We start from the raw sequence: 21,145 nt of genomic DNA on the forward strand, positions 1-21,145 counted from the left end.
AATTTTATACCTGTATTTAGTAATGGCTTACATTAAAATTGCTAAAGTTCTTTCCATTATAATTTGAGACATGCAAAGATTAATTAGAAAAATGATTGTGAAAGAGTTCAATTATTAATGATTAAATTGTTTCTATTAAAAAATGCAAAGTTATCATCAAATGCCATTATTAGCCTCAACTTTAGATAGTTTAAGACATTTTGCAATATTAAATATGTTAGGCGTATAGTAGTTGTAATCAAACTGTAATTGACTGCATTTGGTAATACTTCTGACTTCATAACTAGAAAAACCTAGCAAAGTTATTTTCTCCTCTACAGTAGAATAATCCATTAGAAAAACATAGTTCTAAATATCAGTAGTTTTACTAACCTGAGCAATGAGTAAATTAGTTGTAAGCATATGAGGAAGCTGTTTATATTTCTTACTCAAAAGAAGAATAGCCAGAGACCAGATCTTGAAGACAAAAGGTTCAAAAGTTATTCATGTTTCTTAATCTTTATAATTACTTATTAAATAACACAATGATTAGCCTCTTTAAATAACCCTCTTTGTCCTGGTTCGGAAAGAATTTCCAATATTTTATTTAATCTGTCTAGTTCCAAAAAGGTAAATTATTATAACCAATGTAAAATAACAAGCATGGAGAGATCCCATAATAAATTAACTCTCCAAAAATTACAGGGTCTTTAAGAACTTATGTGGCCAGGCATCGTGGCTCATTCCTATAATCTTAGCACTTTGGGAGGCCAAGGCAGGTGGATCACCTGAAGTCAGGAGTTCGAGACCAGCCTGGCCAACATGACGAAACCCTGTCTCTACTAAAAATACAAAAATTAGCTGGGCACAGTGGCGGGCGCCTGTAATCCCAGCTATTCAGAAGGCTAAGGCAGAAGAATTGCTTGAACCTGGGAGGTGGAGGTTGCAGTGAGCCAAGATTGCACCACTGCACTCTAGCCTGGGTGACAGAGCAAGACTCCATCTCAAAAAACAAAACAAAACAAAACAAAACAAAACAAAGCAAAACAAAAAAAAACTAATGCCTTGGCCAGGTGCAGTGGCTCACGCCTGTAATCCCAGCACTTTGGGAGGCCCAGACAGGCGGATCACTTGAGGTTAAGAGTTCGAGACTAGCCTGGCCAACATGGCGAAACCCCACCTCTACTGGGTGTGGTGGTGTATGCCTGTAATCCCAGCTACTTGGGAGGCTAAGGGAGGAGAACTGCTTGAACCCAGGAGGGAGAAGTTGCAGTGAGCCAAGCCAAGATCATACCACTGCACTCCAGCCTGGGCAACAGAGGGAGACTCTGTCTCAACAAAAAAGAACTAATCCCTTGACCAGGGCCATGTTCTAACTATGCCTACCTTCCGTGTCTGGGGTGGGACACAGGGTCACAGACAACTATTCAGGGAAGGAGCTTTAGTGGGAGATAGTTATAATAATGCACTATTCTAAGTTTTTTTCCTTTTCTATTTCCAACATATTGTCTCATGGGGTATCTAAATGCCAGGCTGTTTTACTTCAAACAACACATACCACACACCTTTAAGATTAATCATCTTACATTCTTCATTTTTTATTCTTTGTGTGTGTGTGAGACAGAGTCTCACTGAAGTGCAGTGGTGCGATCTCGGCTCACTGAAACCTCTGCCTCCCAGACTCAAGTGACTCTTGTGCCTCCAGCCACCCAGGTAGCTGGGATTACAGATGCATACCACCATGCCTGACTAATTTTATATTTTTAGTAGAGATGGGGATTCTCCATGTTGGCCAGGCTGGTCTCGAACTCCTGGCCTCAAGTGATCTGCCTGCCTCTGCCTCCCAAAGTGTTGGGATTACAGGCATGAGCCACGGTGCCAGATCACATTCCTCATATTTTAAAGGATTGGGTTTCCATTCTACCTACGTATTGGCCAGGTAAGTATCCTGGCGACTTCCTTCTTTCCTCATTGCCAACTGAAATGTATATGGTCTCTTTCCCCAAACTGCCCTGTTATGAATGGGTGTAGTAGATTTTAAGAACATGTGACAGAGGTGGAATTTCTTTAAAATTAATCACACATTTATCTGTTACCAATATACATATTCACCCCCACCTCCATTAACTGTACACATTGTCTTTTTTTTCAGCCAGAATATCTGTAGTTTTACTAACATGAATTCAATAGGCCATTTGATCTGTAAGATACTCTAGCTGTCATATACTTAATTATTTAATTTTAGTTAGATATATTCAGTTTGAGAAGTAACCAAAAGTTTCATTAACATTAAATAGGCGGTTGGACTTGAACTCAAAGATACCTTCTGACCCCATGATTCTAGAACAGCTAGGAATTCTATAGTGATTCATCATTTGCAGAATGCTTTTCACATATATTATTTCATGTAACCCCTTAAAAAACCCATGGAAATATGTGAAATTATTGTCATTATTTTATGCTGGAAAACAGAAATTTAGAGAGGTTAAGGTAACTCCACAGAGGCATACAGCTAGTTTGTGAGAGGGCCAGGAATAAAATCCAGGTGTGACTAAATCTCATGTCTTGTCTGCTATAGAACTCTAACTCCCAAATAGAAAAACAAAACTCAGTTAATCAGAAGGCTGACATTATATTTTATGGGCAGGCTTTAGCTTTCTTTATTTCATAAGAAACTAGATTTTTAAATCCCTTCTGTTAACAGTCTATTCTCAAAACTCATTCTGTGGTTTCCATTCATTTTGGGATGCAACGTACTTACCAAGGAGATCAGGCTGACAATACTTATATCAAAACTAACATTCTGGATGGCATATGCCAATGGCTTAGGGTCCATAGTGGGAAAGGTCAGTAACCAGGCAGAAACGTACATGATGGGAGCAGACACAAATGTGCTTATCACCATCCCTGAGGTTATCTGCAAAAATGAAATCAAACAGAGGAGTTACAATCTCAATTAAACAGTATTTTAAACTTTAAATAACCACGGCACACTAAAGCATTCTAAAATAAAAATGAGACACAGTAAAGACATTATAAAATCCAGCATGTTATCCAATACCATACTTCCCCTTTCTGAGAATCCTTAATACAAAATACAATTGAGTTACCTTGGTTCCTCTTCTAATCTATGCTTAATTTATATTTACGCATAATAAATACTAGAAATTTACTGTTGATGGTTAGTTATCCTCTAAGTTCTAGAAAATAAACTGTAGCAATGATATAAATAAACCTGTTTCACAAACTATGTGGCAAAAAAGAAAAGGAATTCAAAAAAAGAAAATTACCATGCAAATATTTATTTTACAGATTAAATAACAGAATTGACCTCCATTAAACAACTTAGTTCCTTTGTATTATATTTAAAAATCATTTACTCTGATGCTGTAGATACCATTTACAATACATTTAGACACTGTTAATAATTTGGTGTCAATTGATTTTAGCTATCTGCTGCAGTTATTATGCAGTATTTTGCATCTGGTGCTTGAAATTATCAATGATAAAATAGGCATTTTTTTCTTCAAAATTTCAAAGTTACCTTTCTGTAAATAATTTTTAGGTTTCTGTCTAAGTACAGAAATAAAATAGTTAAAACTAAAAAAACTGATTAAAAAAAGTCAGGGCTGACTAAAGACCCCAGATTAAATGACTGTTGTTACATTATGTTACATGATGCCTATTTCTTATAATGAGATAGCTTATAGGCATCAAATTCTCATAAAAAACAATGCTGCTTGCTCTGTCACCCAGGCTGGAGTACAGTGGTGCAATCTTAACTCACTGCAACCTCTGCCTCCTGGGTTCAAACAAATCTTGTGCCTCAGCCACCCAAGTAGCTGGGATTACAGGCAACTACCACCACACCCAGCTAATGTTTGTATTTTTAGTAGAGACAGGGTTTCGCCATGTTGGCCAGGCTGGTCTCAAACTCCTGGCCTCAAGTGGTCTGCCCACCTCAGCCTCCCAAAGTGCTGGACCTCATAAAAAACAACATTGCTTTCTATGTTTAGAAATTAAAATGGGCTGGGCACGGTGGCTCATGCCTGTAATCCCAGCACTTTGGGAGGCCAAGGCAGAAGGCAGGAGTTTGAAACCAGCCTGGGGCAACATAGTGAGACCCCCGTCGTCTCTATTTTTTCATTTTTAAAAAAGAATTTTAAAAAATTTGAAATGAATTTAAAAATTTTTTTCGACTAAACACACCATCAAACTTAGAAAGTACTATATACATACAATTTCTACTTCCATGTTGAATTGTGTTGCAAAGATAGCCACTCCTGGTGCTACAGGAAATACACCATACAGAAATGCATAATTTGATAAACTTGTATGGTTCACCACACTGTCGCCCTTGTCCAAGAGTTCCACCATTTCTCTGCACAGAAGTGGCAGCACCAGACTGAAGAAAAAAGAAAAACATCATTTACCTGATATCAAAGCATGGTTGTCCCCAGTAGCAGGCTGCTCTGGTGAATTTGGCATCAGGTTCTCCTGCCCAGAAGGTATGTCTATTTGCATGCACATATTCTGTGCATGTCTACCTGGGCACATTTTGTTGAAAAAAATCAAGAATTCAACTTGGAGCCATTTAAAGTGTAACAATATTCTGGAAATACCTCACACATCAGGGATTAGGAGGGAAAAAAAGATGTTTTTGGTTCTACAAATAATTTTTGTTTTTTGCCAAAAGATGGTAAAAGTTGCAATTCTAGCTACTTTCTTGCTTCCTCTATCAGTTTACTGAAATGTTCAAAGAAAGAAAGAAGGTTGACAATCTGCATAAAAACTTCTTTCAAGAGAATCACTAAACTCTTTTTCTTTCTTTCAAAGTATTCTAGAGAGACAGAAACTCCTGTTTTGAAAAAAAAAAAAAAAAGCTGAACTTTATCATGATTAGGGGTTGAAATGGTTCAGTTAATAACAACATTGCTTAATAAGATTCTAAAATCCTGCCGGCATGGTGGCTCAAGCCTGTAATCCCAGCACTTTGGGAGGCTGAGGCAGGCGGATCACGAGTTCAGGTCAGGAGTTGAAGACCAGCCTGGCTAACATGGTGAAACCCCATCTCTACTAAAGATACAAAAAATTAGCCGGGCATGATGGCACATGCCTGTAATCCCAGCTACTCAGGAGGCTGAGGCTGGAGAACTGCTTGAACCCAGGAGGTGGAGGTGCAGTGAGCTGAGATCATGCCAGCCATTGTACTCCAGCCTGGGTGACACAGCAAGACTCTGTCTCAAAAAAAAAAAAAAAAAAAAGATTCCAAAATCCTGTAGAAAAATAGGTATCTTCAAGTAGCTCTTCATCTTTGTAAAAAAAAAAAAAAAAAAAATTAGCAAAGGAACTAAAACAACTGAGATGGAGCAGAAAACTAGTGAAATGCAGACCTGTTGAAGAGTCAATTATTAAACAAATTTTTCAGGATTTCATAGAATGAGCAAATCCACAGTAGTTGAGCAAATAGGGCTCTCCTTTAAAATCAGCAAGACCAAGATTGTTAACATTTTCACAGCAGCACCTAGCAAGGCCCTCTGGGATGGAGTAAAGAACTACTCTGATCTGTACTTTTTAAATTAAAAAACTTAAATATCTAATTAAGTATCAAAGACCCCCCATCTTTAAAATTAGAATATTTAAATTCTACTTATAAGCAAAAGTTGATAATACCATTATTGTTTAAACTATACTTATTACTTCCACAATACTAATACTTTGTTTCTGAAGAGCATAACATCGCCATAAATAATTTTCAGTACTTATATTCATTTTTATTATTATGAAAACAGTAGATTATGTTGTACTGGTCTCATGAATATAACTGTCTATACATGAGGGGAATTCCATAGTTAAGTATGCCTCAAGTACTTTGGGATAATCTTGCAGTAAAATTATGTCACCTGCACCATCATGTAGAACTCCATGGCTAATGGACCAAGTAAGCTGAAGAACTATTAACTAAGAAGTTGAGGCTGGGCACGGTGGCTCATGCCTGTAATCCCAGCACTTTGGGAGGCCGAGATGGATGGATCACCTGAGGTCAGGAGTTTGAGACCAGTCTGACCAACATGGTGAAATCCCGTCTCTACTAAAAATATAAAAATCAGCCAGGTGTGGTGGCAGGCACCTGTAATCCCAGCTACTTGGGAGGCTGAGGCAGGAGAATAGCTTGAACCTACGAGGTGGAGGTTGCAGTGAGCCAAGATCGCATGACTGCACTCCAGTCTAGTTGACAGAGCAAGACTCTGTTTCAAACAAAAACAAAAACAACAACAACAAAAAAGAAGTTGATGAGCACTTTTCATTTGGCAAGCCAGGATCATATGGCTGATAATAATCATTCATATTGACTTGGCTGTATTTAGAAAATTTGGCCAACCTCAGAACTACAAAATACTTTTCCCAAATTCATGAAAAAAAGTTTGCATTAGAAATTATTGTTCTGGTTATCACTAAGATGCTTTTGTCTTTAGGGTCTTTATGGATTTGGAAAAGTCAGAAATGCTGCAAAATTTATTTGAAAATACTGTCAAACTGGGACATGAGGAGATACTGAGTAAACTTTATGTAAAAGCTGAAGGGAAACCCATCATCTTTATCCTCTGACAGTAAGATGGAAAGAATAAGCTACTGGGAATAAGGAAATGACTTTCCACAATACACCATCACATTTTCCTTTATCTCACAACTATTCTACAAGGAGGGGTTATTAATATTCAAAGGGGAAAATGGTTGCAGACATACCCCTGATGAATTGGCTAAATACGGCTTTCAAAAAGTACAATTCTCAAGTTAAATAAGTGATGCTTACAGTTTAGCTGTGATGAGAAGAATTAGTACTACAAATGCCGACTTCTTCAGTCTCTTTATTTTTCCCACCATCGTGAGACCAAGATAAAATAGGGCTGATCCAGAAAAAGAATTTCCAAGTCCATCAAGAAAATTTTCGACATATACAGGTACCTTTCGATCAAGAATAAAATTGAAGGCGATGCCAATGAAGACCATAAATACTATTGGGTTCTGTAATACACGCAGGAGTCCGAGTCCCACAATTTTTATTTTATTTTGAGAAGCATTTTGAGTGTCTTTCCACTTTTGGATTTCACAGAAAATAAACCCTATAGGGTTTAACATCATAAGAGATATTGGTGCCACCAAATAAATGTACTGGAGATATTCTGGGTATGTAGTTTGATATAAAGCTTCAACTGCAAAACAAGAATATTGATTTTTAAATGATGACCACAGAAATACAGATATATGTTATGTATATAACATTTTCTGTACTTTATAGCAATGATAAATCTAAAATTTTCAAAATGACCCAAATAGCCTATTTTGGAAAAGTACATTTTAGTAATAAAGCTGAAAAAAGAAAAACATAATAAATATCATATAGCTTATAAAATGATAACCAAGTTTACACATTATTTTTAAACCTCACTAATTTTTACCATCTAAGGGTTAAAATTAGTCTCCAAAAATGAGCAGAATTGTAGAATTTTTAGAAGAAACAATTCAAAGTAAAAATCTAGGGACAAACTAAACATTTAAGTAGTAATAGCAAAAATGTGTTTATTGGTATCCATGGAAAGAACAGTTTTACTGGAGTGGTAAGAGACAGAAGTCAGATCACAGAGGGTTGAGGAGAGAGTAGGAGTTATTTCAGGAACTAAAAAGGAGCACGGATGTGGAATCCAAGCTGTGTAAGAAAAGAAATGAAGATGGGAGATGTTTGGAGGCCTCTAGGAATTAGGGACAGTTGGAAGTGCGGGAGTTCAGAGTAAAACAGCTAATGAGCTACTCAGTTAAATATTTTCCAGATGACAAGGTCCAGGATGTGGCTATGGGACTTAGTGGCTGAAATGGAGTAAAGGAAAACATCACTGGAGAAGAGGAGGTCAAGGAAATGACAGGGCAGAGAATTTCATGGTAGTTCACAAGACAATGACAAAACTTGGGATAAAGGTAAATGAGAGGGAATGCCTAGAATGAGGTCAGCAGGTAACAGCAGAGAGGATCAGTGGTCTAGCCGGAAAGTATGAACCTCAAAGCAGTTTTTAACAGCAGAGCAGAGGGATGGTCTAGCAATGGTCCACAGTAGCTGTGGGGATGCCAGTCCTACCTTCCACTGCTCATGTGGTGTGCTGGCAATGGGAAAATGAACAACCTCCATTTGAGAGGAATGAAAAGGAATGAATGCCTTCAAAGAAGACCAGTGGAGATACTTAAGGAGTAGAGATAGAAAGGTGGATCTTACAATGTTTGGGAGGGAAATACAGTAGAGTCACATCAATGCACATTTAGTTAACACAAATTCAACCATACCCTCTTGGGAAAACAAAAGCTTCATTTCCCCCCACCCCCCATAGCATGTTTCCAAGTGCAAACAAATTATTTCAACTGCTGTTCATTGAAGAACAATGCTAGCTAAAAAAATCTGGCTGTGTTAGACTTATGAAAAATGGTACAATATAGACAAAGTATGTGTGCTGTATTTGGTGGGCATTTTCAAGAGTTTGAATATACAAGATGACTTTAGGACTTAACCACTGCATAAGATGTGTTTTTTTAATCTCATGAGGGAGGTGAGTGAGTGGGATCAGACTTCTAGCAGTTTCCTGGTAGACGTGAGGGTTGGTGACCTAGTCTTTAGTTTATTAGAGCAACTTAGGGCCTTTCAGTAAACAACTGGTCTCTAGCACATTTTTGACAATGGGTCCCGAAATTATACAATCTAATGCAAATAAAGGCTGATTTATAATTGATTTGAAGTTGAGAAAGATAAAAAAGAACAGCCACAGTCGTTCACAAGGAGAGAGGCAAACGTGAAAACATGTAAAAGATTAGGTTTCTCGGCCGGGCGCGGTGGCTCACGCCTGTAATCCCAGCACTTTGGGAGGCCGAGGCGGGCGGATCACGAGGTCAGGAGATCGAGACCATCCCGGCTAAAATGGTGAAACCCCGTCTCTACTAAAAATACAAAAAATTAGCCGGGCGTAGTGGCGGGCGCCTGTAGTCCCAGCTACTTGGGAGGCTGAGGCGGGAGAATGGCGTGAACCCGGGAGGCGGAGCTTGCAGTGAGCCGAGATCCCGCCACTGCACTCCAGCCTGGGCGACAGAGCGAGACTCCGTCTCAAAAAAAAAAAAAAAAAAAAAAAAAAAAAAAATTAGGTTTCTCAATTTACACTAAGATAAAATGATATAGGTAGGAAAATACACTTGTTTACTTACTCAGGATATGTAAGTTCAGTTAATGTCATGCACATGTCCCATTAAAGTTATATAACTAGATTATGTAACCTTTAGAAGGTCACCTTTTTCATAAAAGCTAAAACCTATTTTTTTTTAACAGATTCAATCCCCATTTTCTCAGCTAAGTAAATTCAAGATCTATAATATCTCCAAAATGAAGCAGTGGCTAAAAAATATTTGATTACATAAAACTTTATAAGTTCTTTCCACTGGTTTCCAAATTAGATATGCTAGTTATATAAAGTTAGTGGTTTTCTTTCAGGTTTCATAAGGCTTCATCTTTTAAACAAAAAGCAGCACTTTTGATAACTATTTTTAGATAATTATATTTCTGATTCTCTTGAGATATTTTATCTCAAGAGAAAGATGTTCATACCTGCCCACCAACTTTTATAATAGAGCAGATATTTTCGAAAAGTCTTATGTTTTCATCTGAGTATCAGAATTTTTCCTAACCAGCCACAACAATAAGATGCATAACATGTTTTCCTTTGACAACACAGCTATACAGTTCTGTGATCTACTCAAAGCCCCTTATATTAATGCCTTTTTCCAGAAATTTACTTTCCTGGCACACTAGCATTTAATCACTACCGCATAATGAACTTTACATTGTTTTAAGAACTCAGTGCAAATTTAAGCAACAGTTTTTATATTTGGCCATTCACCACATTCTTTCTTTCTTCTTTGGAAGGATGTTCTCCTCTTGATTGCTACTACAATTATTAGTCAAAAATCTCAAAATTAGATTACTTCATGTGTTTACCAACCAACATTCTCTTGGATTTTCTCAACCACCTTCTTCATCCATTTTATTCACAGCTAACAGTACCATCTAAATCTAAACTTTCAAAAGGTAAGATTTTCTCACGGTTCTCACTGCCCACAGAAACAGCTACAAAACCTTTCTTTTACCGGGCATGGTGGCTCATGCCTGTAATCCCAGCACTTTGGGAGGACAAGGCAGGCAGATCATGAGGTCAGGAGTTCAAGAAGAGCCTGGCCAACACGGTGAAACCCCATCTCTACTAAAAATACAAAAATTAGCTGGGTGTGGTGGCGCACTCCCATAGTCCCAGCTACTTGGGAGGCTGAGGCAGGATAATTGCTTGAACCTGGGAGGCGGAGATTGCAGTGAGCCAAGACTGCACCATTGCATTACAGCCTGGGCAACAGAGTGAGACTCTGTCTCAAAAAACAAAAAACAAAACAAAAAAAAACCTTTCTTTTAACATCCACAGTCCAGTCTCCACAATTGGCCCCTTGCTTATCCACCCCATCCTTAATGCAAAGACTCCATCAGCCAGTTTAATAACAGTTAAACCAGACAACTACCACATTCATAATTAGTAGTTCTTTATGCTGTTCATACCGTCACCCCCTAACTTCTTAATATCTCCTTTTTTTACCTAAATCTCACCTACTACTTAAGGCCTGTCTCTGGCACTACATTTCCCACCAAGTCTTCAACCTACATCATTAATCTCCCCTCCTCTGGTATTCTGTAGTACTTTGTTTCATACTAGTGCCACCTCAACAAATTCTAAGTTCCTTGAAAGCATCATTTTAATAGCCCTCAGTCCCTGGCATAATGCTTGAGAAAATCTGAAAATACTTGCTGAATGGTACGAACACATCAATGAACATCAAAAGTTTCAGATGTAGTAAACATGTATTTTCTAATACGCAGCTCTTTACATCGAATTGTTGTCAATGAATCCATTTTTATATCCATTTTTAAACTTTATTTTTACTTTTAAAACTTTATTTTTAATTGACAAATATAAATTATATATATTTATAATGTACATAATGTTTTAAAATATGTATACATTATGGAATGGCTAAATCAAGCTAATTAAAATATGCATAATCTCACATATTTATCATTTTTTCTGATGAGAACACAAAATCTATTCTCAGCAATTTTCAAGAATATGTTGTTATTAACCATCGTCACCATGTTATACAATAAATCTAATGGAAATTTTGTAACTTTTTTTACATTTTACACATTATGAATATTTATAAAGCAGGTTACTATTGAGGTATTTTAAGTCAGCTGAACAAGCATAGAGGCAGAAGAAGTGTAGTCTAGAGGGAACACACAGAAAAATTGTGATTAAATAAATACATGTTAAATTACTAGAATAGGGTTCAACATGGGAATTTCAGTCTACTTTCTGCCATTCATTTGCATAATTAACATTACATCTTTATCTATAAATTGGCAGTGCTTTTTTTTTGCTATCAATCTGAAGATGGTTTTTAAAACCTGAAAAAATATACATGAAAGCAGTACGGTATAGTATAGTAACTAAAATTAGGTTTACAATCATTATATCAACTTTTAGGTTCTAATTAATTAATGCTTATAAATAAGGCTCTTGGAGGGCAGGGAGAATCCCATTATGAGGAGTTATTATATAGCTTTGAAGAACTAAGAGACAAAATTAGCCACCCACTGTGCTTCCTATTTTGATTCCTGCAGGGTTTCAATCCCTAGCATATAACACAAAGACCCAGATAAAATCATTCTATTATGTAATGGCATATAGTTAAATGCTTCATTTCCTTTCTGTTTACAGCTCAAGCACTAGACCATAATTATGATTAGTCAGAGTACTTATGCTATCAGCATTGTTTGAAGAATAAATTATAGGACTTAACTATGCTCTATTAGTATCTTTTAATGACAGGCAGGGAACCATTCTGATATGCTGAAATCAACATTTTGCCACGGGAGATTCTTAGTTTCTTCTCATACTTGGATTTTTAAAAGTACTTTAGAAAAGAATTGCTCTAAAACACAGTGAGCTTCTTTTATTTTTATTTTTTGAGAGACAGGGTCTCACTGTCACCCAGGCTGGAGTACAGTAGCCATCTGCGGCCTTGAACTCCTAGGCTCAACAGATCTCCTGGCTCAGCCTCCCAGGTAGCTGGAACTACAGGCTTGTACCACACCTGGCTAATTTTGCTGTTGTTGTTGTAGAGACAGGGTTTTCACTATGTTGTCCAGGATGGTCTCAAACTCCTGGACTTAAGGAATCCCTCTGTCTCAGCCTTCCAAAATGTTGGGATTACAGGCATGAGCCACCATGTCCAGCCTTCTTTTTTAGTTGCAACATGCACTATTCTGTTACTGGAGTAATAATACATCATTTTAATGTAATGTCATAGACTGTTATAGTTGTCATAGTATGTAGCGAAAGAAAACGTAACTATCTTTTTTCTTTGTTCATTAACTTATATGTCTTCTCCTTGCCAGCATTTCCTGTGTTACCTGTAAATTGGACAGATGTGGAACAAATGCAGTCTTAAAAAGGACATTTCTTATAACCCATGATCGATGCTTGTCTGTGAGCAAGAGAGTGGGAATTCCTTGGAGAGGCCAGGAAACAAAAGACAGAAAGGTCTTCTCTCTGGGGACAGTATTCTTTCTCTGTTCACCGAGAACAAGGCCAGAAGGCAGATGGGCACAGCAGCAGTAATAAGTTACCTCATCAGGCAGCAGATACTCACCCCTAATAGTTCTACATCACACCTTCCAACGTCTAGATATATGAAAAAGCACTCGTCTAATATATTGGTTTTTAGCAAAGTTATATTCTACAACTTAATATTACAAGAGCTTTTGTTATTGTGATTTAAAAAAACAAAAACATAAAAACAAAAATTATACCTCGAAATCAACAAACAACCATCAGGGAAATTTGGGCTGGCACACGGCTAGAAACATAATTATTACCAGATTCACTGACTTAATGTGGGACATAAGAAAAGCAGTGATAAAATGGCTGATTACATTTTTTATTTGGAAAGTCTGCCTCAATATGACAATAGATTAACTATTCTAATAGGTCTTTTTCCACTACTACTCATTTTATGGAATATTTTAGAGGAAAAAAACCCTTTCATTTTTTCTGGAACTAGTATATTACAAGGCTGGTTGGGTCTTCTGAAAATTGAACTGGCACATTATGTAACTGCATGGCATAAGAGAGTGCCCAGGATTTGCAACCAGAAGACCTAGGTTTGGGTGTCAGTCACCTGCTAGTTGTATGACCTGGGATAAAATAATTAAATCTCTGTAAGCCAGTTTCCTTATTTGAAAATGAGGATAAAAATATCTGCCCTACCCAAATGAGATAAGTATATAAGAAAGTACTCTGTAAACTACATAGTTATAAATGTTAGTTCTATTTCATTATCGGCTCACTAATCTATGGGAGCATGAAACTATATACTTCTAGTTTATGTCTAAAGATACATAATATTTGTCAGATATTTAACACTGTGGTGCCGAGTCAGTTCTAAGGTCCTTATACCATAAATACCTTGAGAAATTTACCTTATTAATTCTCCTGAGGAAATGGACAAACATGTTAACTCCTTGCTGTTTTCTTTCCAAAAGTCTTTATTTCCTTTTGAAATTCAATAACCTTAAAGGAACACCTATCTAGTTTCTGACTATTTGTAGCTCAATTATCTATGAGCCCAGTTTTTCCTGTCTCTTAAACCTCCAGCTTTACTGACAGTTATTTAACTTCTTAGGTGTTTCTCTCTTTCTGGTAACAAGATAGAGGAAAGTCAAAAGTAGAGACAGAAGTGAAAAGTATAGTTAAATAGAATCTTTTTGGTACCAGCAGTGAAATAAGTTGGGGTTTGAGGGGAAAGGATAAAACTGCTAGGTAAGAAACTTGAAAGTTAATTGTAGATTTCAATTGTATCCTTCAATAGGCTCAAGTCTCTGCTCAGAAGACATATCATCAGAGAGGCCTTCATTGACCACCCTACCTCAAATAGCACCTCCACATTCCTATCCTTCTACGTGACTTTATTTTTATGGCCCTTGTCACCACCTGACATGATTTTAATTTTATTATTCTCCCATTACAATGTAAATTTAATATGTGCAATAACTTTGTTCACAGCTATAATCCCAACAGTCAGCACAGCCACTGGTACGAAACAGTTCCTTATGAGTGAGTGAATGAATGAATGAATGAATATATCTATAATATTCAAGTCCTCATACTTGATAGATGATCAAAGTATATATAACTTTAATTTAAAATATAAAAAAGTAATTTAAAATATACATTTTCTTGGTGACAGAGTGTTCTGAAATATAGAATGTTTCCTTTCAAGATATGTCAATATCCCAAACTGGTACGTTTACTGTTTCATTAGTAAAACATATACACATAGAAACATAAAATTAGGCTGCTGAAAGAGTCAGAAACATAAAAAAGGAAAAGTTAGAAAGGTAAAAAAGCTCTCACCATTTTTTTTCTTAAACAAGAAATTAACTGCAACTAAAATACATTAAAATTTTGAATAACAAGCTCAAAAACAATTTTTTTTTTTAAATTTGAGACAGGGTCTCACTCTGTCACCCAGGCTGGAGTACAGTGGTATAATATTGACCCACTGCAACCTCTGCCTCCTGGGCTCAAGCAATCCTCCTGCCTCAGCCTCTTGGGTAGCTGGGACTACAGCCTTGTGCCACCACAGCTGACTAATTTTTTGTTGTTGTTATTTTTTTATACAGACGAGGTTTCACCCTGTTGCCCAGGCTGGTCTCGAACTCCTAGGCTCAAGTGATCTGCCCCCCTCGGCCTCCCAAAGTGCTGGGATTATAGGTGTGAGCCACATCTGGCCCCAGAACAATTTCTGATATAAAATAATACATATTCTAGATGGTAGGAAAAATAAATTCCTTTCACAAACACTTAATAATAACTATTTTTATATAGACATAAATCTACTTTTTTAACATAATTTAAATCACAATTGGATCCTTTCTAAAAATTAAGCTTCTTTCATATGTGCTTACCGGGAAGAAAAAAATACAATTAGGACTGTTCACAGTGGTTATTAGAATATGACCGTTTATTTTAGGTAGATGTTTAAAGGATCCTCAAACTCTGAAGTTTAGGAAAAACTATGATTCATCCTAAGACATATTTGAGAAAAAAATGAAAAACTTCTTAGATATGAGAGTAAGAATCTGTTACTAACAAATGCCTAAATAAATTAAAATTGAATTTTTTAAACACTTGAAAAATAAAAATTAACTTACCTATAGGGTATCCCAATGCAAAGTCATTACTTTGTGTAGCAAAAATAGGGAATAGTCCAGCTTTGCTAAATCGACTATCAGGACTGGCAACCAATAAGGTTAATACACATACAATGAAAAATACAGAAGCTTTGGCAATTAAGATACTATATAGGAAGGACCAGTCCACATTGGAAAAATTAAGTACAACCATGTTTTTGAATAATAAAGCTGGAAGTGCAAATCTGGAGACAAAATTTCCTAGTCCTTTGGCCTGGGTTGATGTTATGACATTGGCCCTTCCTGCTATGTAGCCACAAAGGACAATGCCAAAGCATTCCAGTAAGGCTGGAAAAAGCCTTGTAATTGACATTGAAGGTGGGTCATTAGTGGAATTAAATCCATGCGTTACTGCTGTAGGCAAAGTCTTGGTCATATTGACTGCAATGGTTAAGTTCTCTGCAGGTAAATTAGAATTCATTTTCTCTCACCCTCCAACTCCAACCAGATCTCTGGAAAGAAAGGAAGAAAGATTCAGTATGGCCATCAACAAGAATTCTAGTTGAAATAATACACTGGCAAACCTAGATTTGTTTACTTATTAAATGGCCAAATAAATATACATACCCCTAGATTTATTTACTTATTCAATGGCCAAATAAATATACATACCATCAGGGAAAATACAATGGAAAAAAAAGTGGGGGGTTGCTAACAATAATCGCTTCACTCTCAAAGGCAGGTCAGCTCAAAATATTTATGTTGCTAAGTTCTATACTCAGTATTAGACATGAGTAAAATAAGATCCGCAAATATTAGAGCTGCAGTGATGCCCTGTGGTTCTCTCCAGTGATTCTCTCCATCAATTGAGCTCCGCCTGGTGGATAAGGGCATCGGGCACACATAGTCTCCGCTGAATGTCCCCATGCATCCAAATTCTCTGGAAATTTCAGAAGTTCTCAAGGCTACATTGAGGAGTCACCCAGGGACCAGAGTCCTTTCCAGCCCGTGGTCATATTTGAATATAGGATGGGAAGAAGGGTATAGTAGAGCACTACTAATCAACTTTAAACCAATAACTTTTTTTTCTAAAGACAGGGTCTTGCTCTGTCTCCCAGGCTGGAGTGCAGTGGTGCAATCTCAGCTCAGTGCAACCTCTGTCTCCTGGGTTCAAGCGATTCGTGTGCCACCACGCCCGGCTAATTTTTGTATTTTTGTAGCGACATGTTGCTTAGGCTGGTTTTGAACTCCTGACCTCAGGTGATCTGCCTGCCTCAGCATCCCACAGTGCTGGGATTACAGGCATGAGCCACTGTGCCCGACCTGAACGAATTAACTTTAACTTTTCTGTGTCTCACCTTCTTCACCTGTAAAATGGCAATAATAGTAATACCTACCACATGGGAACTTGCGATTATTCCACTGAAGTCTTTATAATCACATCTGGAACAGAGTAATTACTTAACGGAAGTTAAATATAACTTTTGGTAGAACATGAGAGAGAGAAAAAAATGACGACCTCCCACCAATATACCTTTAGCTCCTTCTACACCCGCCACACACACTGGCCCCAGGGACTTTGTGCCACAGGGACTTTGCACATTCAGTTCACTCAAGTGTCACGGAAGCAGGGACTATGCATGTTTTTGCTCAATGTTGTGTCCTTAACATCTAGGACAGTACCTGGCATACACGAGACAGAAAAAAAAATTTTTTTTAATGAATAACTATAATTACTTATACTTAAACCTTTTACCCTTTCATGGATCAATGTTCTCTTTCAGGCACTATTTAGTTTACAGACAGAATTTTTTTTTGTTTTCTGAATGATAAAGTATTATAAGTTTTCCACTACAGCAACAGAACCAAGAACACAAAATATGTCTAAAGGTGTTCATGAAATGTTAAAAAATACAAAATGTTTTGTAAAATGTTCTAAAGAGGTTCAGAAAATGCTAAAGCATGGAACAAATTCAAAACACGAATAGTACAATAATTATCAGACCCCCTCTTGCTGCCAGGAACACAATGAACATGAGGTCTGGATAACTCTAAAGCTAATCAGCTTTTATTAGTATCTTGAAATTAAAATGACGACAATTGCCAATTTCTTTTTCTTTTTTTTTCAGATGGAGTTTTGTTCTTGTTGCCCAGGCTGGAGTGTAATGGCGTGATTGCGGCTCACCTCAACCTCCGCCTCCCAGGTTCAAGAGATTCTCCTGCCTTAGCCTTCCCGAGTAGCTGGGATTACAGGCATGCACCACCATGCCTGGCTAATTTTGAATTTTTAGTAGAGACGGGGTTTCTCCATGTTGGTCAGGTTCGTCTCAAACTCCCAACCTCAGGTGATCTGCCCGCCTCGGCCTCCCAAAATGCTGGGATTATAGGTGTGAGCCACCACGCCCAGCCAACAATAGCCAATTTCTAAGTGATTATTCTGGGTTTACCATCTAAAGTAGACTGATATAAGGTAGAAAGTAAAAAGCTCATGCTTCCAGAAATTTACAATGCTCAGGTTAAGTCCTCAAACATCTATATCACATTAAAAAGACTTAGATGGCAGCCCAGAGATCACCAACAACTGATAGCTGGCGTGGGTACAAGGGAATTTTCTCTGTGCTACCCTTGTATAAACCGAACCATTTGAAAACCTTATATTTAATCTGGATTAGGACAAGTATTTTCCTACTAGGATTAGATAGCAGTGGTCAATATAGTACATGAAACCTACACTACTCACATACTTGAAGTTTACCAAATAAGCATCAAATTATATCTTGGGAAAGCTACCGGTTGGTACAGATACACATACTTGAAGTAAGGAGCTGGTAAACAATTAAACAAAGGCGTTAAACATTTGGAGCCCTTAAGACGGTGTGTACTTGGAAAGGCAGTGCTAAACAGGAAAGTGATAAATTAATCCAGTCTTCTGTTCACTTTCAAAAGTGCCTAGAGTATTAATAACTCATTCTGCTTATAAGCCCTTACTTGTACAACACGAGCATGTCAAGGCATTCCAATAATATTTTTTAACCAACAGTTTAAACTAGCAGAAGTTCAGTGGAGAGTCAAACAGATTCTGAGCTTTATGGTTTATCAACTCATAAGTTACTTAGTCTTTCTGAACCTTTGTTTCCTCAACTGTAAAATGAGAGTAAAAACCTCCCTATAGGGATCAGTCATAGCAGCTCACGCCTGTAATCCCAGCATTTTGAGAGGCCCAGGCAGGTGGACTGTGTGAGCCCAGGAGTTTCAGACCAGCCTGGCCAACATGGCAAAACCTTAGTCTCTACAAAAAATTAGCTGAGCTTAGTCATGCGTGCCTGTTGTCCCAGCTACCTGGGAGGCTGAGGTGGGAGGATCACCTGAGCCTAGGAGGTCTCTGCAGTGAGCCATGATCACACCACTGCACTCCAGCCTGAGTAAGACCCTGTCTCAAACAAAGACCTCCTTAGAGGGATATTGTGTGGATAGAATATTTTATATACAGCTTATCACAGAGTAGGCCTTCAAAAAACGGCAGCAATTGCTATTAGGAACTGTTGTCTTACTACTAATAATGATAAAAAAGTAAACATGTTAGTTCTTCAAACATAACTGGTAAAAGATCCACCAACTAAAAAAAGAGGGATGGGATGCGTCATAAATTTATCAGTTTTTGTTTTATACCAAACAATTAAGATAAGTTGAATTTAATTTGGTTTGATAGTAAATGGTTAACAGTGAAGGCAGAGCTCTTCATTTTTCTCAGGGTGATGGTCAAATAGTTGTAGCAATGTCCAAGATTAACTTTCAATTCGTTGAAAAATTAAAAAACAAAAAAACAAAACAAAAAAAAGGGCCGGGCGCAGTGGCTCACGCCTGTAATCCCAGCACTCTGGGAGGTCGAGGCGGGCGGATCACCTGAGGTCGGGAGTTGGAGACCAGCCTGGCCAGCATGGTGAAACCCTGTCTCTACTAAAAAGACAAAAATTAGCCGGGCTTGGTGGCAGATGCCTGTAATCCCAGCTACTCGGGAAGCTGAGGCAGGAGAATCTCTTGCACCCGGGAGGCAGAGGTTGCAGTGAGCCGAGATCCTGCCATTGCCCTCCAGCCTGAGCAACAGAGCAAGACTCCGTCTCAAGAAAAAAAAAAAAAAAAAGCAATCTGCCCCTCCCCATGAGGTTTCTTTTAACGTTTCTCAGTATTATAAAAGAAATACCTGCTGAGGTAAAGTCAAAATAATCAAAATGACTTTAAAAGTTTCATTTCATCCTAATCTTTTTTAAACGGGAAGATAATATGCTTTCTAAAGCATATTTTAAAATGAACAGGAACCACAGCAAGGGAAGTTTTAAAAAAAAAATTACATCCAGCCTTTTTATCTATAAAAACAAAGCTTGTTACAGAACAAACACGTTCACAGTAAAAGACCACTCGCTGAGGCACGAACTGAAGAAATGCTACTGTACTTACAAACCGCTTCTAGCCACATCACATTTGGCTTAGATCACATAAACGAACCACTGATACTGTAAATAACTGCTATTAAGTGAAAATGCGGGGGGAAGGCGAGGGTTGACTAACTTCATAGAGAAAGCTTTAAACTCTCAGGCTATTTCTCAAACATCCAACATCCTTTATCCCGTGGGATAAGTGTAATACAGTGTGGTACTATTAGAGCACTCTTCAACATTAATAGTCGCACCATTCACCCACTCCTACCTACTTGCAGGGCGCCAAATGTCCTCCCTAGAGACCCAGGGTAGGGAGCGCTGAGCACTGCCTCCTTGCCTCGTCTGCAGGGACAGACTGTGGCCCTCCAAGATAAGGGGCGCAGAGAGTTCCTAACCGAATAGGCTGCTCGGAGAGCAGCTGCCAGCCAACCCCTGGGAAGGCAGCTGTGGAAGTGGAAAGGCAGCCAGGGGTCTTTGCCTGGCGTAAGAAAAAGGTGGTCGCTAGTCTTCCCAGGGCACGGGAGTCACAACGTCATGGTAACTAACATACCCCAAAAACGGGTAAGGGAGAAAATTTGGCGCAGTGCTCCAGGTGCCTGGGCAGAAGCCTTCGGAAGGGCCAGATACTGAGGGTACCCTCGGGATAAAGGGAAGAGTCTAAGAAAGACAGGGTGGACGCCCGTGCAGTGAGGAGCTTCCCAAACTAGGGATGGCAGTTCTGTCTCCGGAGGGGACGAGACACCCCCTCCCCCGCGCGAGCCTTCCCGGGTGATCTCACACGTTCCACAGGCAGGCGCTGCGGGGCAGAGACAGCAGGTCCAGACAACGGGCCGCGGGGCCAGGGCGCAGAGGGTCGGCGGCTGCCCACGTGCCCAGGCCTGAGGGGCAGAGGCAGGGGTACCCCGTGCCCGCAAGGGAGAACCAGGACCCAGCAGGTCCGCGCTCCAGGGGCCCCTCTCACCTGCTTCGTCTGCAACCTTGGAGTGGCGAGGAGAAGGGAGCTGGTGCTCGCAGGGTGCCAAGCAGGGAGAAGACCACCGTCATCTCCCGCCCCCAGCCCTCTTCGCCGAGCGCAACCGGGTGCCAGCTGCAGCAGCTTAGGCACGTTCCGATAAAGTAAGGTGGGGTAAGCCGATGCGGCCCTGTCAGCTCAGCCCCTCGCCGGCCGCGAGGCCCCGCCCCCGCCCCGCCTTCAGGCCCCGCTCCCTCCCAGCCCCGCCTTCAGACCCCGCCCCCAGCCCCGAACTTCCAGCAAGACGGGCCGCTTCCCGCCCTCGAGCCCCGCCCATTTCCAGGAGCCTTGAGCCCAGAGTCTCCGTCCCGCCCTCAGGCCCCACCCACAGCCTCGGGCCTCCGAGCCACACGTTCCCCAACCCCGCCTTCAGTCCCCGCCCCCTCCTCCAGC

At 39.1% G+C, this 21,145-nt stretch overlaps 1 protein-coding gene across 7 annotated transcripts in view, besides 3 other annotated features; it reads right to left on the minus strand.

The window, feature by feature from the left end:
• GPR155 (G protein-coupled receptor 155) overlaps positions 1–20,858 on the minus strand; it is a 55,459-nt gene extending 34,601 nt beyond the window's left edge. Inside the window, exons 1-8 of one of the 7 annotated variants that reach the window (XM_017003485.3) lie at positions 20,702–20,858; positions 16,839–16,987; positions 16,702–16,747; positions 15,326–15,816; positions 6,794–7,193; positions 4,219–4,384; positions 2,741–2,896; positions 373–456 (exon numbers count right to left, since the gene is read on the minus strand). In XM_017003485.3, the coding sequence (XP_016858974.1) occupies positions 373–456; positions 2,741–2,896; positions 4,219–4,384; positions 6,794–7,193; positions 15,326–15,785 (1,266 nt within the window). In that variant the 5' untranslated portion in view covers positions 15,786–15,816; positions 16,702–16,747; positions 16,839–16,987; positions 20,702–20,858. Of the gene's footprint in view, positions 1–372; positions 457–2,740; positions 2,897–4,218; positions 4,385–6,793; positions 7,194–15,325; positions 15,817–16,701; positions 16,765–16,838; positions 16,988–20,701 lie in introns of all 7 variants that reach the window. The other 6 variants (XM_047443532.1, NM_001267050.2, XM_017003487.2 and 3 more) reach the window with 6 other exon arrangements.
• Positions 20,373–20,555: a silencer, noted in NCBI's record as "fragment chr2:175351272-175351454 (GRCh37/hg19 assembly coordinates)". NCBI's record gives its function as "represses an EF-1alpha promoter that drives an FKBP-Casp9 reporter gene in an ReSE screen in HepG2 liver carcinoma cells and phorbol 12-myristate 13-acetate-treated (for megakaryocytic differentiation) K562 erythroleukemia cells {active_cell/tissue: HepG2 | K562(+PMA)}" and the evidence as "EXISTENCE:reporter gene assay evidence [ECO:0000049][PMID:32094911]".
• Positions 20,409–20,478: an enhancer, noted in NCBI's record as "active region_16773". NCBI's record gives its function as "activates an Ori minimal core promoter by ATAC-STARR-seq in GM12878 lymphoblastoid cells {active_cell/tissue: GM12878}" and the evidence as "EXISTENCE:reporter gene assay evidence [ECO:0000049][PMID:35858748]".
• Positions 20,819–20,998: a silencer, noted in NCBI's record as "silent region_12126". NCBI's record gives its function as "represses an Ori minimal core promoter by ATAC-STARR-seq in GM12878 lymphoblastoid cells {active_cell/tissue: GM12878}" and the evidence as "EXISTENCE:reporter gene assay evidence [ECO:0000049][PMID:35858748]".

The sequence above is a fragment of the Homo sapiens genome, chromosome 2 (assembly GCF_000001405.40).
Source record: "Homo sapiens chromosome 2, GRCh38.p14 Primary Assembly".
In the NCBI taxonomy this organism is placed as follows: Eukaryota; Metazoa; Chordata; class Mammalia; order Primates; family Hominidae; genus Homo; species Homo sapiens.